General features: G+C 36.3%; 1 protein-coding gene across 1 annotated transcript in view; it reads left to right on the top strand.

Annotated features, from left to right (window-relative positions):
• Positions 1-19,172, top strand: part of ALDH1A1 (aldehyde dehydrogenase 1 family member A1) — a 52,383-nt gene that overhangs the window by 18,631 nt on the left and 14,580 nt on the right. The window contains exons 3-9 of the mRNA NM_000689.5: positions 3,404-3,544; positions 5,402-5,531; positions 7,246-7,307; positions 8,811-8,939; positions 10,291-10,404; positions 15,601-15,703; positions 17,319-17,503. Of these exons, the coding sequence (NP_000680.2) occupies positions 3,404-3,544; positions 5,402-5,531; positions 7,246-7,307; positions 8,811-8,939; positions 10,291-10,404; positions 15,601-15,703; positions 17,319-17,503 (864 nt within the window). The remainder of the gene's footprint in view (positions 1-3,403; positions 3,545-5,401; positions 5,532-7,245; positions 7,308-8,810; positions 8,940-10,290; positions 10,405-15,600; positions 15,704-17,318; positions 17,504-19,172) is intronic.

Raw genomic sequence — 19,172 nt, 5'->3', positions numbered from 1 at the left:
ACATTTGAAAGACAAAGTGATAAGATAAAATTATTTGCAGAAGATTAGCCTGGTGATAGTAGCCAAGATAGTTTGAGGAGAGAAGAGAATGAACTTGAGACAGCATTGACAATATGAAATAATAGGGCCTAAAATTGTTCAGAGCAGTGAAAACTGAAAGGAAGGATTAAAATACATTAGAACTTGCTAGGTGCAGCAATACACACCTATAATCCCTGTGTGCCTGTAATCCCACCACGTTGGAAGGCAAAGGCAGCCAGGTTGCTTGAACCCAGGAATTTTAGACCAGCTTTGACAACATGGCAAAACCCCATCTCTACAAAAAAATTAGGCAGACGGTGGCTCATGCCTGCAATCATAGCACTTCGGAAGGTCAAGGTGAGAGGATCACTTGAGCCCAGGGGTTTGAGACCAGCCTGGACAACATAGCAAGACCTCATCTTTACTAAAAATAAACAATTAGATGGGCATGGTGATGCACTCCTGTAGTCCCAGCTACTCCAGAGGCTGAGGTGGGAGGATCACCTGAGGCTCGTCAGGAGGTCTAGGCTTTGGTGAGCCATGTTTGTGCCACTGCACACCAGCCTAGGCAACAGAGTGAATCTCCCTCTATTGAGAGAGGGAGAAATTGCTGAGAGTTATATTAAAATTTAAAGTTTTAACTGCTAGGACAACAGTAACAATTGCCACCATTGAATAATACATAATGTTCTAACATAGAAAATGTTTAAATGTTATCTTATTAATCTTCATTACAACCCTGTGAGGTAACATACCCCAATTTCTTTTTTCTTTTGTCTTGCTTTTTCTTTTTTTTTTTTTTTTTTTTTGTTTTGAGATGAGGGTCTTACTCTATCACCCAGGCTGGAGTGCAGTGGTGCAATCTCAGCTCACTGCAACCTGCACCTCTCAGGTTCAAACGATCCTCCCACTTCAGCCTCCTGGGTAGCTGGGACTACAGGCACACGCCACCACACCAAGCAACATACCTTGATTTTAAAGAAAAGAAAGCTGAACCTTAGAGAAGTCATGCCACAACATATTTCATGGTTTATAATAATGTTTTGGGATAGTGATTTGATTGTATGTCTCTCCCATTTGATTGAATATTCCAAAAGGACAATCTTCTTACTTCACTCTGCTGTCTTTAGCGGAGGGATGATGAGAATGCTGCAGAGTCGAATATTTATCAAACCTTTAGCTAGAGGGATGAATGGTTAGATGCCTCAAGGTTTACACAGCTAATGAAGAGGAATCAGAATTCAAATCTGGGTTGTTTTCATATCAAACTATATATTAACTAACATTACTGTATTTCTGCATCTGCAAGATTACATATAAGATGTGAGAAAAGGGGGCGCATGATCCAAAGGACATAATCATAAGAACATCTTTATTTATAGCAGCATTCTTTAGGGATGTGCTTTCCATATGGGAGAGTTACTTATCTTGAAGCCAGTTCTCCGTATCCCTTTGGGAGGCCAAGATCCCTATGATAGCCCATATTTGGCTAAGACCAATAGCAGGACACTGAACAGAAAGATCCAAATGAAAGCTGTGTCATACAGATCTGTTTAAACACAGACCAGCATGTATTTTATAAGCTCTGGTATCCACAGATCATGCTGACAATCTCAGATTTTTGTGGTTTGCTTTTTCTTTTTTTCAAACAGTGCTCTGTAAATTTAGGAAAAAGTTAGAACGTGTGGCATGAAACAATGTCTAAATATAAGCAATCAATGTGATTAACTGAATGCCGCAAATATGCACTGTATATGTATTTCTCAGGAAAGGCAGGCAATAAATACATATATTTTGTATATATCATCATTCTCTGAAAAGTTAGACAGTGAGATATATCAGTGTGTGATGTATTACACTGAAAGAATCTTTGCTTGTAGTCAGTAAATATTATTACTTAATCAGACCAGATTGTGCTTCTAAAATATCTCTCTTGCCCCAGATCATATTATTTTGGTGATAAATACTAGAAGAATAGTTTTTTTGTATTTTAATTCACAGACTTGTAAGTGTGGGTCTTCTTGATTGAATATAGCCTAAGGAGGAGGATGTTAATTTGAGGTCCATTTGAGGGGAAGATATCTCCTTAGATGGGATTTAGCTTAATTGTGTACAATTTTTTAAAAAAATCTAGGGTCATTACTTTTTCTCTCCCCCAATTCTTAAAGGGAATTGTGTCTCCTGCAAAATATTGCAACCTACTGGCCTGTGATATAGCCACTATTTGTGGAGCTATACAATTCCATGTAGTGGCCAGTTCTATGTACAAAAGAACACTGGAATGATATATTCCTTTATGGTGTTTGCAGTAGTAGTAGGTATGTTCTGTAAGAGCTCAGAAGAGGTCTGAACAGGGATCTGCAGGGGAGTGGAGTGGTCAGGGCAATATTTGTAACTGAGGTGAATTGCAAAAGAACCAGAGAATATATCTGGTGTAGAAAAACACAACAGAGAAAGAAATTGAGTGAAGGCACTATGAGAGTGAAGGACAGGAGGCTACACTGAATGTGGAGTCACTTTACTCTTTGACTTTTACTTGAATTAATGTAGTTTTAAGCCATGCATCTTTAATAAGAAACTGACTTCTTTATCGGATTAGGGATTTAAAAGGATCTCTTTGTACCCAGTTGGGAAATGAGAGGTTGTCACATGCACATCCTACTCTATTAGTTCCACTATTTCCATGCCCTGTTCCCTCTGCACAAGAGGAATGAGCACATGTTTCTAAGGTTTATTCTTCAACAGCAAAGCAAAGTTCTTATTCACCCTTCAATAGGCTCTTCATGAAAGTGGACAGGCTGTTGAGTCACCAGAGACCAAGGAAGATATTCATTATTTTGGATCTTGAGCTTGACCTGGAATTCCTGTAACCCAGTCACTAAGAAAGTATAATGTGTGGTAAACAGCAAAGATTCTACAATCAGATGGGCTCCCTTTAAAACTCAGTTCAGCCACTTTTAGTTATTAACCTTGAGCAAAGCTCCCGTCTCTCTTTGCTTTAGTTTCTTCATCTGTAAAACAGGGAACATATTTGTGCCATAAAATTAATGAGAATTAAATGAGCTAATAGGTATAAAGTCATCAGAACATTACTTGAAACAGGGCAAGCACTCAGATGATAGCAACTATTAAAATCATAAAACACTTATATTCTAGGAAATCCAGCATGTGCTAGGTACGTGGAGCTCATCATGTAAAGATTATTCAGCAGGAGTAATTCCAACATACAGTAGTTGAATGTGCGCAATGTGTTAGACTTTGGGATAATGGAGACACAGTGCCTGCTTATGAGGCACTACAGTCTATTTTACAGGGTTATTGGCATTAAATTTGCTTGCCTAATATGTTTAGCTTACTGAATTGAATTCCTGTTGACTTACAGGAGGATGTTGACAAGGCAGTGAAGGCCGCAAGACAGGCTTTTCAGATTGGATCCCCGTGGCGTACTATGGATGCTTCCGAGAGGGGGCGACTATTATACAAGTTGGCTGATTTAATCGAAAGAGATCGTCTGCTGCTGGCGGTGAGTATTATCCAAGCTGGATGGGTAGCTAGAGCTCTCAAAAGCATTCAGCGTTTGAAATGGCAAGTTGTTTTGATTTTAGGGATCACTATATGCTCTCTACAAACAAAATGAAAACATTTTTTGTCCCAATGAATAGGCCCCTTAACATTGAACTATTCTCAAATAGTAATCTGCATTTCAATTCTGGATGATGTTAATTTCTGCTCCCATAATAGATTCTACGGTCTAAACTTTAGCAAACCCAAGTTAAACCAAATTTTAGAAATTTCTTTACCTTAAAACTTCTCAGAGGTTTCAATAAGATCACATGAAGTTTGAGTCTCCTAGAATGATATATTAGGTTTATTCAAGCATTTGACCACTGAGCTCTTTTGATGGAAAAACTCAAGTTTGTTAAGGGTGCCCAAAATATTTCTCTAAAATAAATCTTATTTCTCATTAGTCTAGCTCGCTAAGATATTTAATAAATGGCTACTTTTTTTCTTCCTGAAATGTGTCTGTTCACAAGGGTCATAATTAAATGATGTTCTTTTTACAGATGAAAGAGGCAAAAAATAAAAAAAATCCAATTATTAATGTGGTTTATCAAAATCATGTTTTTATGAATACTATTTTTGTTTGTTTATGTTTTAGCAGTTAGATGAGTCAGAGCATAATATAGTTGGGGGAGGGTATTTCCTTGTTTCTGTTGTCTCAATTGGGCATTATGATGAAGCCAATTTAACATAAACAAATACCAAGATCAGGTTTCAAGCAAATTTCATCTTTAGAATCTGAAAGTGGCAGTAACAAAGAAGTCTACATTTTTAAAAAATCAACATTAGCATGTATGGTTAATAGCAAGTATGGTTAATCAAAGGACCATTTATTACTCAAATATTCAACATAATTTGAAATACACAAAAATTCAGAACGAGCAGCTATGTGCAATAAAACTATAGTAATAAAAATGACCTGTAGGAAGAAAGCAGAAAATGCTAAAACTTGGCTTTTCTCAATTATCTGATTTGTTGACTGCCTGTCAGCATAAGATCCTATAGAGAGAAAAGTACAGGCATACAAAAGTCACATTTGGTTAAATTTTGACATGATAGAGAGTGTAGTACAGAAACAAATAGCTTTAACAGTTCATCACCTGTGCATTTCTGCCAGGTAACCACCCCAGCAGAATATTAGATCTCAAAGAGCTTAAGGTCCTGCTTAAGAAGAGAAGCCAAAGGGGAGATAGGTCATCTTATAATGGTTAGGGCACATGACTAGAAAATGTTTAACTTTACCTGACCATTAAAACGGCAATTATGACAATAATGGCAACACTGGTAGTTTCCTAATTAAAATTCTGCTGAAGGAAATTCATGGATGAAAAATCCAGGCATTACTTAAGTTTGTGTGAGTAGACTGTGTATATCCAGATGGAATGTAAAAATTAAAAATGATTACTGAGCCATCATTAATAGTCACTGACACTAAGTTGTCACCCACAGTTGATTACAAAATAAGAGAAACCTTGTTGGAATTCTGATAGGACTTAGAAGACTAGGTTTCATTCTCAGATGTTATGTGTATATCAAATTGTGACCGATTCCTAGAAAGCTGGTTAGCAGGAGAACATCAAAATGAGATAGAAAGAGCACTGGGGTTTAGAAATCAGAATCTCACTACCCTTTGTGCCCAGATCTTGCTATTTGACCTAAAGGAAGTCATTTTAACTCTTAAAAAGTGGAGGTTAGACAAGATGACAAGATTTCTTCTATTTCAAAAATTCCCTAGCACATGATTGCTGAAAATATTTACTACATATTTTTAATCTAAAACTTATGGAATTTTAGATTTGGTGTTTGACATGTTTTTCAGACAATGGAGTCAATGAATGGTGGAAAACTCTATTCCAATGCATATCTGAATGATTTAGCAGGCTGCATCAAAACATTGCGCTACTGTGCAGGTTGGGCTGACAAGATCCAGGGCCGTACAATACCAATTGGTAAGTATCTTTGAGAAACCACTAATGGTGAGGATAGGAGCGAGGAGTTTACTATAGAGCTGAATAATTTCAAACTCTCCCTTTTAAAGATGTCAACCAAATAAGGCAAAATTATTTTCCTCTTGACTTTGAGACAACACAGTTTTCAACTTAGAAGTTCTATTAAAATTCATAAAAGGTCTTTTAAAGTTGTTTCAGCATAATCATGAAGATAACATTATAGATATTTTAGAAAATGTCAAAGTAAGAACATTCCTTTGGCAGTAATTACTGATCTGAGGCAATTGCCTCTCTAAGGTCCCAAACTTTTTAAAGCTGACCTCTGAAATTATTTATTTGGGTTTTATTCCAATACTGACATTTATATCCTTTCTGTAATGTAATTATTTAAGCCTCTTTACATGTTCCAGTATAAGTCAGTTATGGTCATCTGTGCCTGGTCAAACTCAGTGTAGTTAGACCAGACTAATCAAACAAGCCAGTTCACACGGACTCGTTTCAAATATCTTCAAAGCAAGATGGGACTGTGTTTGCAGCCTAAGTTAAGGGTTTGTGTGTGTGAATCTGTACGTATGTGTTATTTTAGTGGGGTATGCACATAATGGAGTAGAAATACTAAAGATATTTCATGTGAAACATGAAAACACACACATTTAGGAAACAGTATGGGTGGAATTTAATTCAGGCAAACCTATGAACTTTAGGAATACAATACCCTCCAGGACTGGCCCTGATGTGCACTTCCAATCCAATTGGAGCATGCAGGAGGTCAGAAGTGATAGCAGAAAGTTGAGAGGAGAGTAAGACCTCGGTGGTACTAAGAAATGTGGCTACTTTAGAACTGTCCTACTTTACTCCGGGACAAAATGGGAGAAGTCACTTAAAACACAAATAGATCTTGATGAAGAGAGTCCTTGCTGAAACCAGGAAGCTTCTGTGGGAACTAGAACAGAATTGAATGTAAAGCATAATGTATCTCTCTGGATGACCACATTAAACTTCGGGGCACATAAATTGGTCAAATTTAGATTGAAAATAAATGTCTTATACTCCTGTCATTTTCTTCATGTATTTAGAGAATTTGCTATTATTGTTTGGTAGGCAAATAAAATACATTTTAGAACAAGTCAGTAGGAAAGGCTTATTACTCATAGGGAGATTTTCTTTTTAATTCTACTGTTTTTAATTTTACTATTTCTAAAAATTATATTATAACTTTTAAAAAGAATTCTCTTATTGGTAGAACTTTGAGCTACCAGAAACAAATTGGAATGTGGTTCTTCTCTTCGCCAGAGACCTCCTACTTCCTTTCTCGTCCCTTTTTTATAACACTTAGAGAATAAAGATAATTTTCAAATCAGGCCTCCTAGAAGATGAAAGGTGGAATTAATTATCTTTCAGATTTTTGCCAATTTTGCCTCTTTGATTTCACCTAACTCAATTTTATGGTTCCTATCATTTCGAATTACTATTTTAGGGCTTCACTTACCATTTTGGGAATAGTTGGAGATATAGATGGTCTCGATCTCTTGACCTCGTGATCTGCCTGCCTCGGCCTCCCAAAGTGCTGGGATTACAGGCGTGAGCCACCACACCTGGCCAGATATATGTTTTTAAAATTATTGTCTACACCTTTCTCTCACATCACCAACCACCATTTTGTGAATGTCAAATACATTTGTTTATATATGATTGTGTGTGTTTTATTTTTCAGATGGAAATTTTTTTACATATACAAGACATGAACCTATTGGTGTATGTGGCCAAATCATTCCTGTAAGCTTTTCTCCTATATAATTCTCAATTTTAAAAAGAAGAGTTCTTATTCTATCTAATGATGAAGCTTTCTCTAAAACAGATGGATGCTTATGTATTTGTTAAATGTGGAGTAAATGTAAGATTTGTTGAACTTGGTCTCCCTGTGACTAAACTTCTTGCATATGAATTAGGTAGTCCGAAAACCTATCTATATTCTGGCATATCTCTTGAGAATGTTTTAATACTACATCATCCATAAATGTTAACCCTTTACTCTATGGGTTGTTTTATTAAAAGTTGTATTATGTACTCTTTATAAGAGCCAAGCTTTACATGTATATGGCAAGGTGCTCTCCACTGCACATCTGCAGGATAGCATTTTGGTGGAATGTAGTGGGGCCTACTATTCTCCAACGCACTTTCTCATTGAGACATCTCATCATGCAGAACAGTAGCTCCCAGAGTGTTCAACTCATGACACACATTTTTTAATCAAAATGGAAAAAAGAATACCAGAGGCATTTGAAGCACTGCATGGAATATATTTTACCTTTAGATAAGAGGCTCAGATCCTCCATATTACTCTTAGAGGAAAGTAGCCTTTTTAAGAGGATTGTGAAGATTTTTTAAGCCCAACAAACAGGACACTATCTAAATGATTTTATTTTAACTGACATGCTTTAAAAGGCCAAACAAAAAAATGGTAGCGAAGTCCTTATGTGAAGAAATGGTCAAGACTTATCTTTGGCTCCAATGAGATTGAAATATATTCATATCAATATTTTAGTGAAATTGCTTATTAATTCAAAAGTCCCAATAAATCGATAAAAACTATATAATTATGAACACTGATAATAGCTGATATGTACTACTTGTCTATGCTAGACCAGTCATTGTGTTGAGCCCCTGGCCCTCTTTCTTGGTTAATGCTCAAGACAGCCTTCTGAGGCAGAGAGGACTATTATCAGCACTCACAGATTATGAAATCAGATACAGAGAGCACGTAACCTGTGTGAGTTCACATGGCTGGTCAGTGATTGAGCTGAGATTTGAACCCAAGTACTTGGCCTCTGGACCCTGGACATCTTTGTCTTTAGCAAGGTATTTTTCCTGGAAATAAAAGCTACTAAATAATATTATTGGGTAAATAATTACAATAAATGACTTATGGAGAAGGAGAGTAATCATCCTTTTTAAACATTTTTAGATAACTTACAGTGTGCTCCATAATAAGCCAAACCATGCAGTGATTTTTTTTTTCCTGGTAGAAAAAGAACTCAACAGTACTTGATTAAATTTTGAGGTTCTCTCCTATTTCCTTCTCATATCTCATATCTGGTTTATTCAGAGCGTTTTAGCATTTACTAGTTGCTTTTAGCAATGAAGTATAATATGCCAGATGATTTCACAAAACTACGCAATTATTACATAACATCTACAGGGGGTGTATAATATGGAAGTTGGATTAGCAAATATGCCTTTTGCAATACAAAGAATCTATTGTTACATATTGCTTTCTAGTGGAATTTCCCGTTGGTTATGCTCATTTGGAAGATAGGGCCTGCACTGAGCTGTGGAAACACAGTGGTTGTCAAACCAGCAGAGCAAACTCCTCTCACTGCTCTCCACGTGGCATCTTTAATAAAAGAGGTAAGTCTCCCGAAATCAAAATATGCTCAAGAACTCAAGAATCCTAAATTACAATAGGAAGACCTCATTTGTTGCTACTATAAAGTACATTATTTACAGATGGCTCCTGTCCAGTGGGGGGAATACATTTAGCATGACGGCTGGCTGCAATTTCTGGCAGTCACCCCAAATTCATCTCTGCCCAAATGCAGACAGGAAGCCAAACACAAAGGTTTGGTGTCAAACAGTCAACTTGGGATCACATTTTTGCTTCTTTGTCCAACTCTCATGAACATAAATTCATGTTGAAATTAATGTAGCATTCTTTCAAATGTTGAAACATTAAGTTGGTTTGTACCTGCCACTGATGGCCTAGTGTTTTCTGCAAAATTGTGTAAACTAATCTATGTAAGGTTGAAAGGGCCTCTATGCCAATATGCTTGTTTGTAATATTGGGCCACATTATTTCCAAACACTTTTCAATCTACTCATGAGTGGATATGTTTATATTCAGTTTTCTATTATGAGTTCCTCTGCATTTATCTTCCTGTTCAAAAACAGTAAAAGAACATGTAAAACATTTTCATCAGCTATCTAGATTGTGTTAATATACTTGCAAACAATTCATTGTCCTTTTTTCTTCATCTTACCAAATCTTAAAAAATAAATGTTAATCACTAGAAACTTAAAGTTACAAAACTGAACTTATCTTTTAAAGATATTATTTATTGAAATTAAAAACAGGGAAAAGAGATGTCAAAATGAAACATTTCGATGCAAATAACATGAAATTGTAATGTGCCCAACTCAGTTCCCATGCCTTCACCTGAATTCTTTAATGAAGATTGAAATCAACCTGTGATGTTGAATCATGAATGGGATGACAGTATTTACTTAACAATTTACTAAGTAATGCCAATGGGAATTTGCAACTCAGCAGTTATGCCCTCAACAATCAACAACAGCTAGGAACTAAAAAATGTTAGATCCCTTCAGCTTCTTATTTTTGCTGATGGGAATAATAAACATGTTACTTACTTTCTACATAAGTAACTTACCAAACACTTTTTTACATACAATCTTTTTGAGTTAGCATTATGAAATTTGAAAGAGCCATCACTGGAGCAATGATTCATAGAGTATGGACTTACCCTGACAAGAAATTGTCCTTTAATAATGCAACCCTTGAAGTTATTCTCTTATGTGTGCTTAGAAATGACATAATAAGACTAAAGAATAGAGCCAGTTGGGTGAATTATTTTTTTCTAGAGCATCTCATAAGGTTGGCATTAAGAGACAATCTCAATCCCCTACTCTCCTCCTTTTTGAATTAAATTCTTATACTGTAACTTTTAAACTTTTTATCTTTTAGGCAGGGTTTCCTCCTGGAGTAGTGAATATTGTTCCTGGTTATGGGCCTACAGCAGGGGCAGCCATTTCTTCTCACATGGATATAGACAAAGTAGCCTTCACAGGATCAACAGAGGTAATATTATTTACTCAGGGCAAAAGTTAAGAATGTCTGCATTGCCAGCTATGAAGTATGTTTTATGTAACTATTTTTGAGCCAACAATTTTAAAACAAAAACTCTTTTTAATGATTTGTTACTTATTTTAGCCTTCAAACATATGGATAGAATATAAGCAGATGTAGTTTGAATGACATGATGCACCTATTTTAAATCAGAATGAGAGTAAACTATTTTTAGTATGTTCATTACTTTCTCTGACGAGAAATATGGCTGCTGAGACCTTGTCATATTATTAGGAAGATTTATAATAGAAAATTAGGCCATAGTGATTTGTATGAATGAATATGATTTTATCCTATAGGTTATGAAAATTAAATAGTAGAGTCTCACCCTTTGCACCTTATTTGGGGTTGTCTTTCTCCTGGACACTGTGAAAGAGAGCCAGAAACTCAGCTTCCCTCAGTGGTACCTAGACTAACTTTTCTGCCTCTCTGGCTTGAACTTGACCATCCTAAAGGTTAAAGAAAAAGACCCCAACCACAAAGGAGAAGTGGCGGGCAGGAGGGAGAGCAGACTAGAAGGTGAAGTTTGGGAAAATAGATCCCCATTTATTGATGATGTTCTATCCTAAGCAAAAGAAAGTGGTGGAAGCATACTGTACCATGCAAAAAAAATTATTGAGTCATTCTATTAAATTACGTGACTTTGTTAGATGCTCAGTGCAAAAATGTTATTCATTGGTACACAGTATAGACAGTGAAGAGTGAGCTTCACTCCATCTTAGAAAGCTGCTGACAACAAGAGACCAGGCAGGGTGTGATAAGGTACTAAGGCATGTACAAAATGCTGTAAAAAAGGTTCACAAGAAGGAATGATGATGTCCAAATGGGTACTAGAACTAGCTCTGGGTTTTGAGGAATTGTTACTTTTTTAACTTCCTGGAAGTTGAGAAGCAAAAAAGACATTCCAGATAGTGTGGTGAGCATAATTTGATTATTTTATAATCTTAATTATTTACTCCAGAATAAAGGCAAATTTACATAGCAAAAAGAAATGGTGGAAAATCAAACTTTATTTTTCTTGGTCTTTTTAAAATGAAGTAAATAAATATATATATGTCTTCTTTGTTTTTCACAGACGTAGAGTAAAAAAAGTTTGCATTCTGCAACTCCCTAATTGAGATAGGGAAAAGCAAACCCCACAGTCAAGATTTATTGTAGACAGAACAAGTGGGAATGTTCAAGATATGGCAATACATTTAAAAATGGTGACACCACAGGTTGAAATCATACCAGAGGAATAAAGGTGAAAATTCCTCAGCCTAGAATTCTAGACCCTCCCCAATAGGGAATCCATGTGCCTGTTGAGGTCTGTCCAACCCATGGCCAGGGATGGCTTTGAATGTAGCCCGACACATTTTTTTTTCATTCTCATCAGCTATCTTTACTGTTAGTGTATTTTTTGTGTGGCCCAAGACAATTCTTCTTCCCATGTAGCCCAGGGAAGCCAAAAGATTGAACAACCCTGGTCTAGATCCTATGCCTACTCCTTCTCCAGGTCATCTGGACCAGGAGCTACTGTTTGCTGATCTCATCTTCAGCATCAGTTTGTCTTCGCTCATCCATGATCCCCTATAACATTGGGGGAGCACTTTACCTACTTAAAAAAATCCCTGGAGATTAAAAGTCTAGAAAATATCTTGGTTTAAATTCTGACTCTACCCCTCCTAGCAGTGTGTCTTTAAAAAGTTAAGTAGCCTTACTAAATTTGAGTTTCTTCATTTGTAAAATGGAGATGAGATCAAATTTACTGAGTTGTACAGAATACAATTAAATGAGCTAATGAGTAGTAAAACATTTATCACCCTACTGAGCGCTCAGTACATGCCATATTTCCTCTTTCCTCCCATACTTTTTAATTTCGCACACTAGTTTACACAATGTGAGAAAAAAGCTTCCTGTCCCAATATTTCTTTTTCTCCATCTCTGCCACTCTGCCCCATCTCTTCCTGATTATTCCATGTATCTTTTCATTCCCCCAGGCTTTTAGTTCATCCTTGGCCATAACCTACTCTAAACTTGCTCCCACACGTTCCCTCTCTGGCTTTCTCCTTGCCTCTACAGTCCCAGGAGCAGAGCAGCCTAAATTTTAAAACACCCCATCTGAGTTCCCATTGTCCACCACATATAATAACAGTGCATGCCTATTGCCTTATGTGTCTCTCTCTCTTGCTGATTATCCTCAAAGACAGTCTTATTCATTGTTATCTCCAGAAACCATCACAGTAAGAAATTCTAAATAAGTATTAAAGAATTAAATGTGATATCACACTCTGGGGACTGTGGTGGGGTCGGGGGAGGGGGGAGGGATAGCATTGGGAGATATACCTAATGCTAGATGACACATTAGTGGGTGCAGCGCACCAGCATGGCACATGTATACATATGTAACTAACCTGCACAATGTGCACATGTACCCTAAAACTTAGAGTATAATTAAAAAAAAAAAAATGAAAAAAAAAAAAAAAAAGAATTAAATGTGAATAACACGATTTTAGGAGCCACAAAACCCATCCTACTTTCAACTCCTGAAACTTAGTTCCATACTCCCTGGAACTTCTTTCTGGATTTTCTTTTAGCTTCACATTTGTTGCTTGGCAGATATTAAGGAACTTGATAAATGTCATGAAAGAGGCAAACAATAGACTGTATCCTTTGTGTTCATTGTAGCAAAGACCCTCCATTCTAACAACACTTTAGGCAAGGTAAGAATTTTTTTTTTTTTTTTTTTTTGAGAGGAGTCGTGCACTGTCACCCAGGCTGGAGTGCAGTGGCGTGATCTTGGCTCAAGCTCCACCTCCGTGGTTCATGCCATTCTCCTGCCTCAGCCTCCCGAGTAGCTGGGACTACAGGCGCCCACCACCACGCCCAGCTAATTTTTTGTACTTTTAGTAGAGTTGGGGTTTCACCGTGTTAGCCAGGATGGTCTCGATCTCTTGACCTCATGATCTGCCCGCCTCAGCCTCCCAGAGTGCTGGGATTACAGGCGTGAGCCACCGCAATATCCCATTAGATTCATATAAAATAGAACTCTACCCACATTATGCAAGACATAATAAGCTAGACCATTTTCATGGGCATTTGCTACTTCTGCTCCACATGGCAATGCCACAGTATCATGGAATACACTGTTTAGCCATAGTCTTAATAGTTCTTATCTTTTCTTCATTGCATACTCCTTTGAGAAAAATGATAAACGTTTACTTTTCTCCAAATAAGGGAATGAAATCATGAGACAAAAATTAATGTCTCTTTGTTTTGACTTTAGCTAGACTTTTGGGAAAACTCAAGCCTTTTATTTGCCATCTAAACTTGTGCTAAGCAAAAGTGTAGACTTTCTTTCTCATTCATACTTCTAACCATTCTTCATCCTAGTTCTTTTGACGTTTGTAGCTTTTACAAAAATATATTTGATTTTATTACCTTCTCCAAGGCAAAAGTTATCTACTTTAATGGAGTTACTTCCGTAAACCTAAATTAAACAAATAAAAAAAATTCAGAAAGAATTTAGAGAAATCAAAGGGTGACAGGTAAGTAAATTTTTTATCTACAAAATTAAAAACTCCTTAACATCTTAAATGAAAATTCAGTTTCTGAAAGTGGTCATAAGAAGTGTGTTATAGAATGGCATATAAGAGAAATTTCAGACAGGATTTCCCTAGTGCAAATCTCCTTTTAATTTATTTTTTATTAATCTTTTAGGGGTTTGATTTAGAAACATAAAATATTTAAATAGGAGGAAAACATTAGCATATTAATGCCCTATTCTGTAATTCACAGTAGCAGTTAGTTCAGTAACCACATAAAATCTAAACATACACTCACGAAACATCTATTTCTCTCTTGTTCAGTTGGGATAGAAACTTTTTATTAAAATCTGACATGCAGAGTAAAAAAAAGAAACCTAGAAAATAAAAGAAGCAAAATAGTGAATTGCCTTTAAAAAAGAAAGGCAAAGAACATGTTGGTGGATTAAGGCTGCCATACAAATAATAAAAAAGAAATAATTGTAGAACCAGCCAAGTTTTTAGAGATAGAAAAACCAGAAACAACTATAGTAAATAATCTTGATGGGAAGTGATCCACAAAGGAAAAAATAATTGAAAACAAAGTCTTCCTCTGAAAAGGGAAAACTAGCATTAAAGAAGAAACCAGAACTGTAGGATTCCAGCTAACTGAAGTAGCTGCACAGATCCCATTTCTTTCATCCAGTTCCACTGTTCAAAGGTGTGTGTGTTGGGTGGGAAGACAGAGAAAGAAAGAGATAGAGAGACGACTGTCAATCCGCAATTAAATGAGCCTTCTGTCATAGATACTAATGAGGAGAGGTATGCAGTGATACGTTATTGTTACTGCTACCACAGAGTTAACAATCTATTTGGGAAATGTATTTCTATACAAATAATACAATCTGGATCAGACTCTGAAGGAGACTTCATGAGGTTTTTTGGGAGACTAGAAAAAGAAATGGTCCTGTCATTTCTTCTAGCATCTGACCTAGTGTCATCAGAGAAGGATTTAAGGAGAAGCTAAGATATGAGCTGGACCCCTAAGAAAAATAGAACTTGAAGGCAGTCCAGGTTGGGGTGGACAAATAATGAGAAGAAGGATGAGATTCAAGAGGTAGTGAATATGTCAGTTTGACTGGATAGAGTTATCTGGATGCCAGAAGAGGGATAAAAAATGAAATAGCTAAGTTGCGACTGGGTCATGATAAGTCTGATCAATCTGTAGAAAGATGATATTCTGATTAAAATTAAAAATAACCTCCGTAGCCATCAATATCACTTATCCGTGTTCTATATCTCTGCTTTCTTGCTGATGAAAAATCAGCATTTTTCTGATTCCTTTTATGTCTGTATGCTTGGATGAGGGAGCTTTACATATCTAAAAGTGCCAGATCTTTAAAAATGCCATTTGCCAGAGAATCACTTGAACCCGGGAGGCGGAGGTTGCAGTGAGCCGAGATTGCGCCACTGCACTCCAGCCCAGTCGACAGTGTGAGACTTCGTCTCAAAAAAAAAAGCCATTTGGTGTTTCTCCCAAATGAAATTTTACTGTGGCACAAACATCACATAAATTTAGAATGCTAAAGCAACCTGTGTTCATGAGAGCAGGGTAAGCCTCCTCCTTTGTAATGCTCCCTTTCAGGTTGGCAAGTTGATCAAAGAAGCTGCCGGGAAAAGCAATCTGAAGAGGGTGACCCTGGAGCTTGGAGGAAAGAGCCCTTGCATTGTGTTAGCTGATGCCGACTGTGAGTAGAAACCACTTTGTTAACTTTTCGTCCTTCATCGTTTTTGGTGTCTGATAATGCCAAAAGTGAACTTGAACTTTACAAAAAAAAAAAAAAAAAAAAAAAAGCATTTGCTTCTAACATCAAAGTGTAAAGAGTCCAAAATTACTCTTGAAAATCTCTTAAATCATCCTAAAGTTATAACACATAGATAATAGACACAATTTCTTCCTCGTTTAGAATAGATTGCTATTTCCTCAGCTGAACCCTAGATGATGTAAACATTTTGCATTTAAATGCCATGGTGTATTTTTTAAATTCCATATCTGTGATTATTAGCATTTCATTGAGCTAATGAGATACTCCAGAATGGGACTTGGATTGAGACCAACTGAGGAGACAGCAGTTTCACATTTGCCCTCTCCCTTCACTCTGGGTCATACACTCATTAAATGAAATGATCAGAAGAAAATTATACCTAATATTTAAATATTTTTTCCTAGCAAGTATAGTGGAGTTTATGTACATTAAACCTACAAATTTGATATAACCCCACTATATAATATTTTAGGTTCATTCTGATTATATTACCAAGTAGAATTTCCCAATTATTTCCTAAATAGAAGTTAATTAGCAGAAATGCATGGTCAAACATTCTTTTTTCTTTCACAACTGCATTATCTGTTAGAGGCTGTAAATACAAATGGTTCATGGAATTAGCCTATGTTGCTGTTTTGATCTTAATTGAAGTATTTTAGAACACACTACCTTATGAAATATTCTATAAACATGAAAGATTTCTAATTTTACTAAGACTGTCTATAAACTGCTTCTGCTACAACTTAAGCAGATGTAATTAGTTCACAAAATAAATAATAATCATACCCAGTTGCTATAACATTGAATTGAATCTTCAGCATTTAGAAAATTAAAATGCAAAGAAAATTTTATTCTTGTTTAGAGTCTACTAAGGAAGCAACCTATTTCTTCCTTTTAATGCACATTTTATCGCCTAAAATAAATAAGAGTTTATAGGCACATATGAAATAATACGGTATACTTTAGATAGATTTTGAAAATGTCTTTGATGGAATAAAATCATAAGGTGAGTGAGTGATTCTGAGTATTAGTGTTTTTTGTTACTTTTTAGTTGTTTTTGTTTTATTTTGTTTTTCTTTCCCACAAAGATCACATTTCCTGTTGAGTAGAGTATTTAAGAATCTTTTGAAATTATTTAATTCGATAGACATGTCAGGTTTTTTTTATTATCTGTTTAAAATCTGGGGCCTGAAAGAAATAATCACAATCATCTAATTATATAATTGGAGATATTTATATAAATCATTTCCAAAGAGATTTGGTCTCATGATCAAATCTACATTCTTGGTGATGTCCATATTAAAGTTGTAATAGTAACCACTATTTTTTCAGATTCTGTATGTTTCTATTTTTTCCATGGTAAATGCAGGATCAGAAAGATTAATTTGCCACCTGGCTGGTAGGAGGTAAACTATACTGAGCCCATGTCTGACTACACAACTCATAATTTTTCTTTATCTCCATGTTGCCTCTGAGAAACATATAAAATATATAATTTTTATAAAATATATCTTTAATGTGAATGTCTTCTTCGCAGTGGACAATGCTGTTGAATTTGCACACCATGGGGTATTCTACCACCAGGGCCAGTGTTGTATAGCCGCATCCAGGATTTTTGTGGAAGAATCAATTTATGATGAGTTTGTTCGAAGGAGTGTTGAGCGGGCTAAGAAGTATATCCTTGGAAATCCTCTGACCCCAGGAGTCACTCAAGGCCCTCAGGTAAGTATAAAATAGAAAGGATAGCATTTTCAGGGCACAGGAATAAAGTATCCTCTTTAGACCTAGATTTTATTGAGTAAGATTACTTCCCATCTGCACACCTTCCTAGGTGACAATGCTGTGCCAGTTTGGTGTTTAAAAGCAATCTAACTCCCAGTGAGAATGAAATCATCCTGTTTTTGTGTTGCCCAGTTTTCATGTCTAGAAACAGTTTACCGGCCATGCTGAGAATTAAAGACATGAGGAAAAATAACAAATGTTCTACATTTTTGGCTTTCCTCAATCTGCACACCTCTTGATTCCTATATACAGTTCTCTGTCCACTTTGAAATTCTTATACATTCCTACCATTTTTTCCTCCTGAATCCTTCATCTCCACAGCCATCCCACAGTTATAACCAGCACTCCCCTAAATCCTCTGCAAGTCATCGGTTACTCTGACCCCCTAATCGTAGCATGGGGTCCTAAAATGTCCTGAGTTTCCTTTGCGGCAAACTTCGTATTTCAGTTGTTAAAGCCCAATTATTCCCCTAGGCACTCAGTTTTCTTTGTAGACTTTATTATCAGTAAAGGTCTCTCTCTCTCTTATCCAAAGATCATCTTTCCCTCTTCCTTGCATAGTTCTCTGTTCATTGTTTGTTTAAGCTTCTGGATCTTTGGTTGTGAATTTCTTCCTGCCCTTTGGGTCTTGTTCTAGAGCAGTGATTCTAAACTGGGGCAATTTTGCTCCCCTCACCCCGGGGACATTTGGCAATGTCTAGGGATATTTTAAGTTGTCACTACCTTGGTGAGAAGCGGTGGCTCTACAGGCATCTAGTGAGTAGAGGCCAGAGATGCTGCTAAACATCTTGCAGTGACCAGGACAGCCCCATGACAAAGAATTATCTGGCCCAAAATGCCAACAGGACAACTGCCGAGAAATCCTGCTCTGGAGTCTAGACATTAAGCTTAGAGGCTCTGTTCTTTCACAATAAAGGTTTTACACTGATGCGTGCTGTCAATTTGAAACCAAACGCTATTCTTGACTCATTCACTAAGCCAAAAGTAAATTCAATTAACTAAAAGTTAGTGAACGTTGCTATCAGCTAAAACTTGAGATGGGTACCTGGCAATGCCAAAAAGAACAAAGAGGACTTGATCCCGGACCTCATGGAGTTTACAGTCCAAGTAAGTTGGACAGTCTTGGATTTTCCTGTTCATCTCAAGACATCCAAGTAGGAAAATCTTAGGACTTAGGCAGTGTAACATATTGAAATCTAAAGGCCCTAAAATAAGCGGCAAGTGAGGTAATACTTTGTTTTATCTTAATCCCATTATATTTTGTATTTGTCTTTGAGTTTAATGAGTACTTAAAAGTAGTTGCCCTTTTTTTCATATTTGGTATATGGATGCCAAGAGATATATTCAAATCAGTTTTGACTTGGTCTCCCATTTCAAAAAAGAATGGAATTCTATGTTTTTTGTTGTGATTATTTATCTATCTAACTAAAAGTGAAGCACTTTTCTTATTTTGTTGATGGATTGATGGATGATTGATTGATAGATCTGAAGAGAGGAGAGAATACCTAAGATACCTAATGCCTAATTGTTGGGCAGTACTTTCCTCCATTAGGACATCTTCACAATTCAACCAAAGACTCAAAAATTGAGCTGGAATACCTCATTGATT

Source organism: Homo sapiens, chromosome 9 (assembly GCF_000001405.40).
Source record: "Homo sapiens chromosome 9, GRCh38.p14 Primary Assembly".
NCBI lineage: Eukaryota > Metazoa > Chordata > Mammalia > Primates > Hominidae > Homo > Homo sapiens.
The sequence above is the reverse complement of the archived record's forward strand: the minus strand, read 5'-3'. Positions and strand labels throughout refer to the sequence as shown.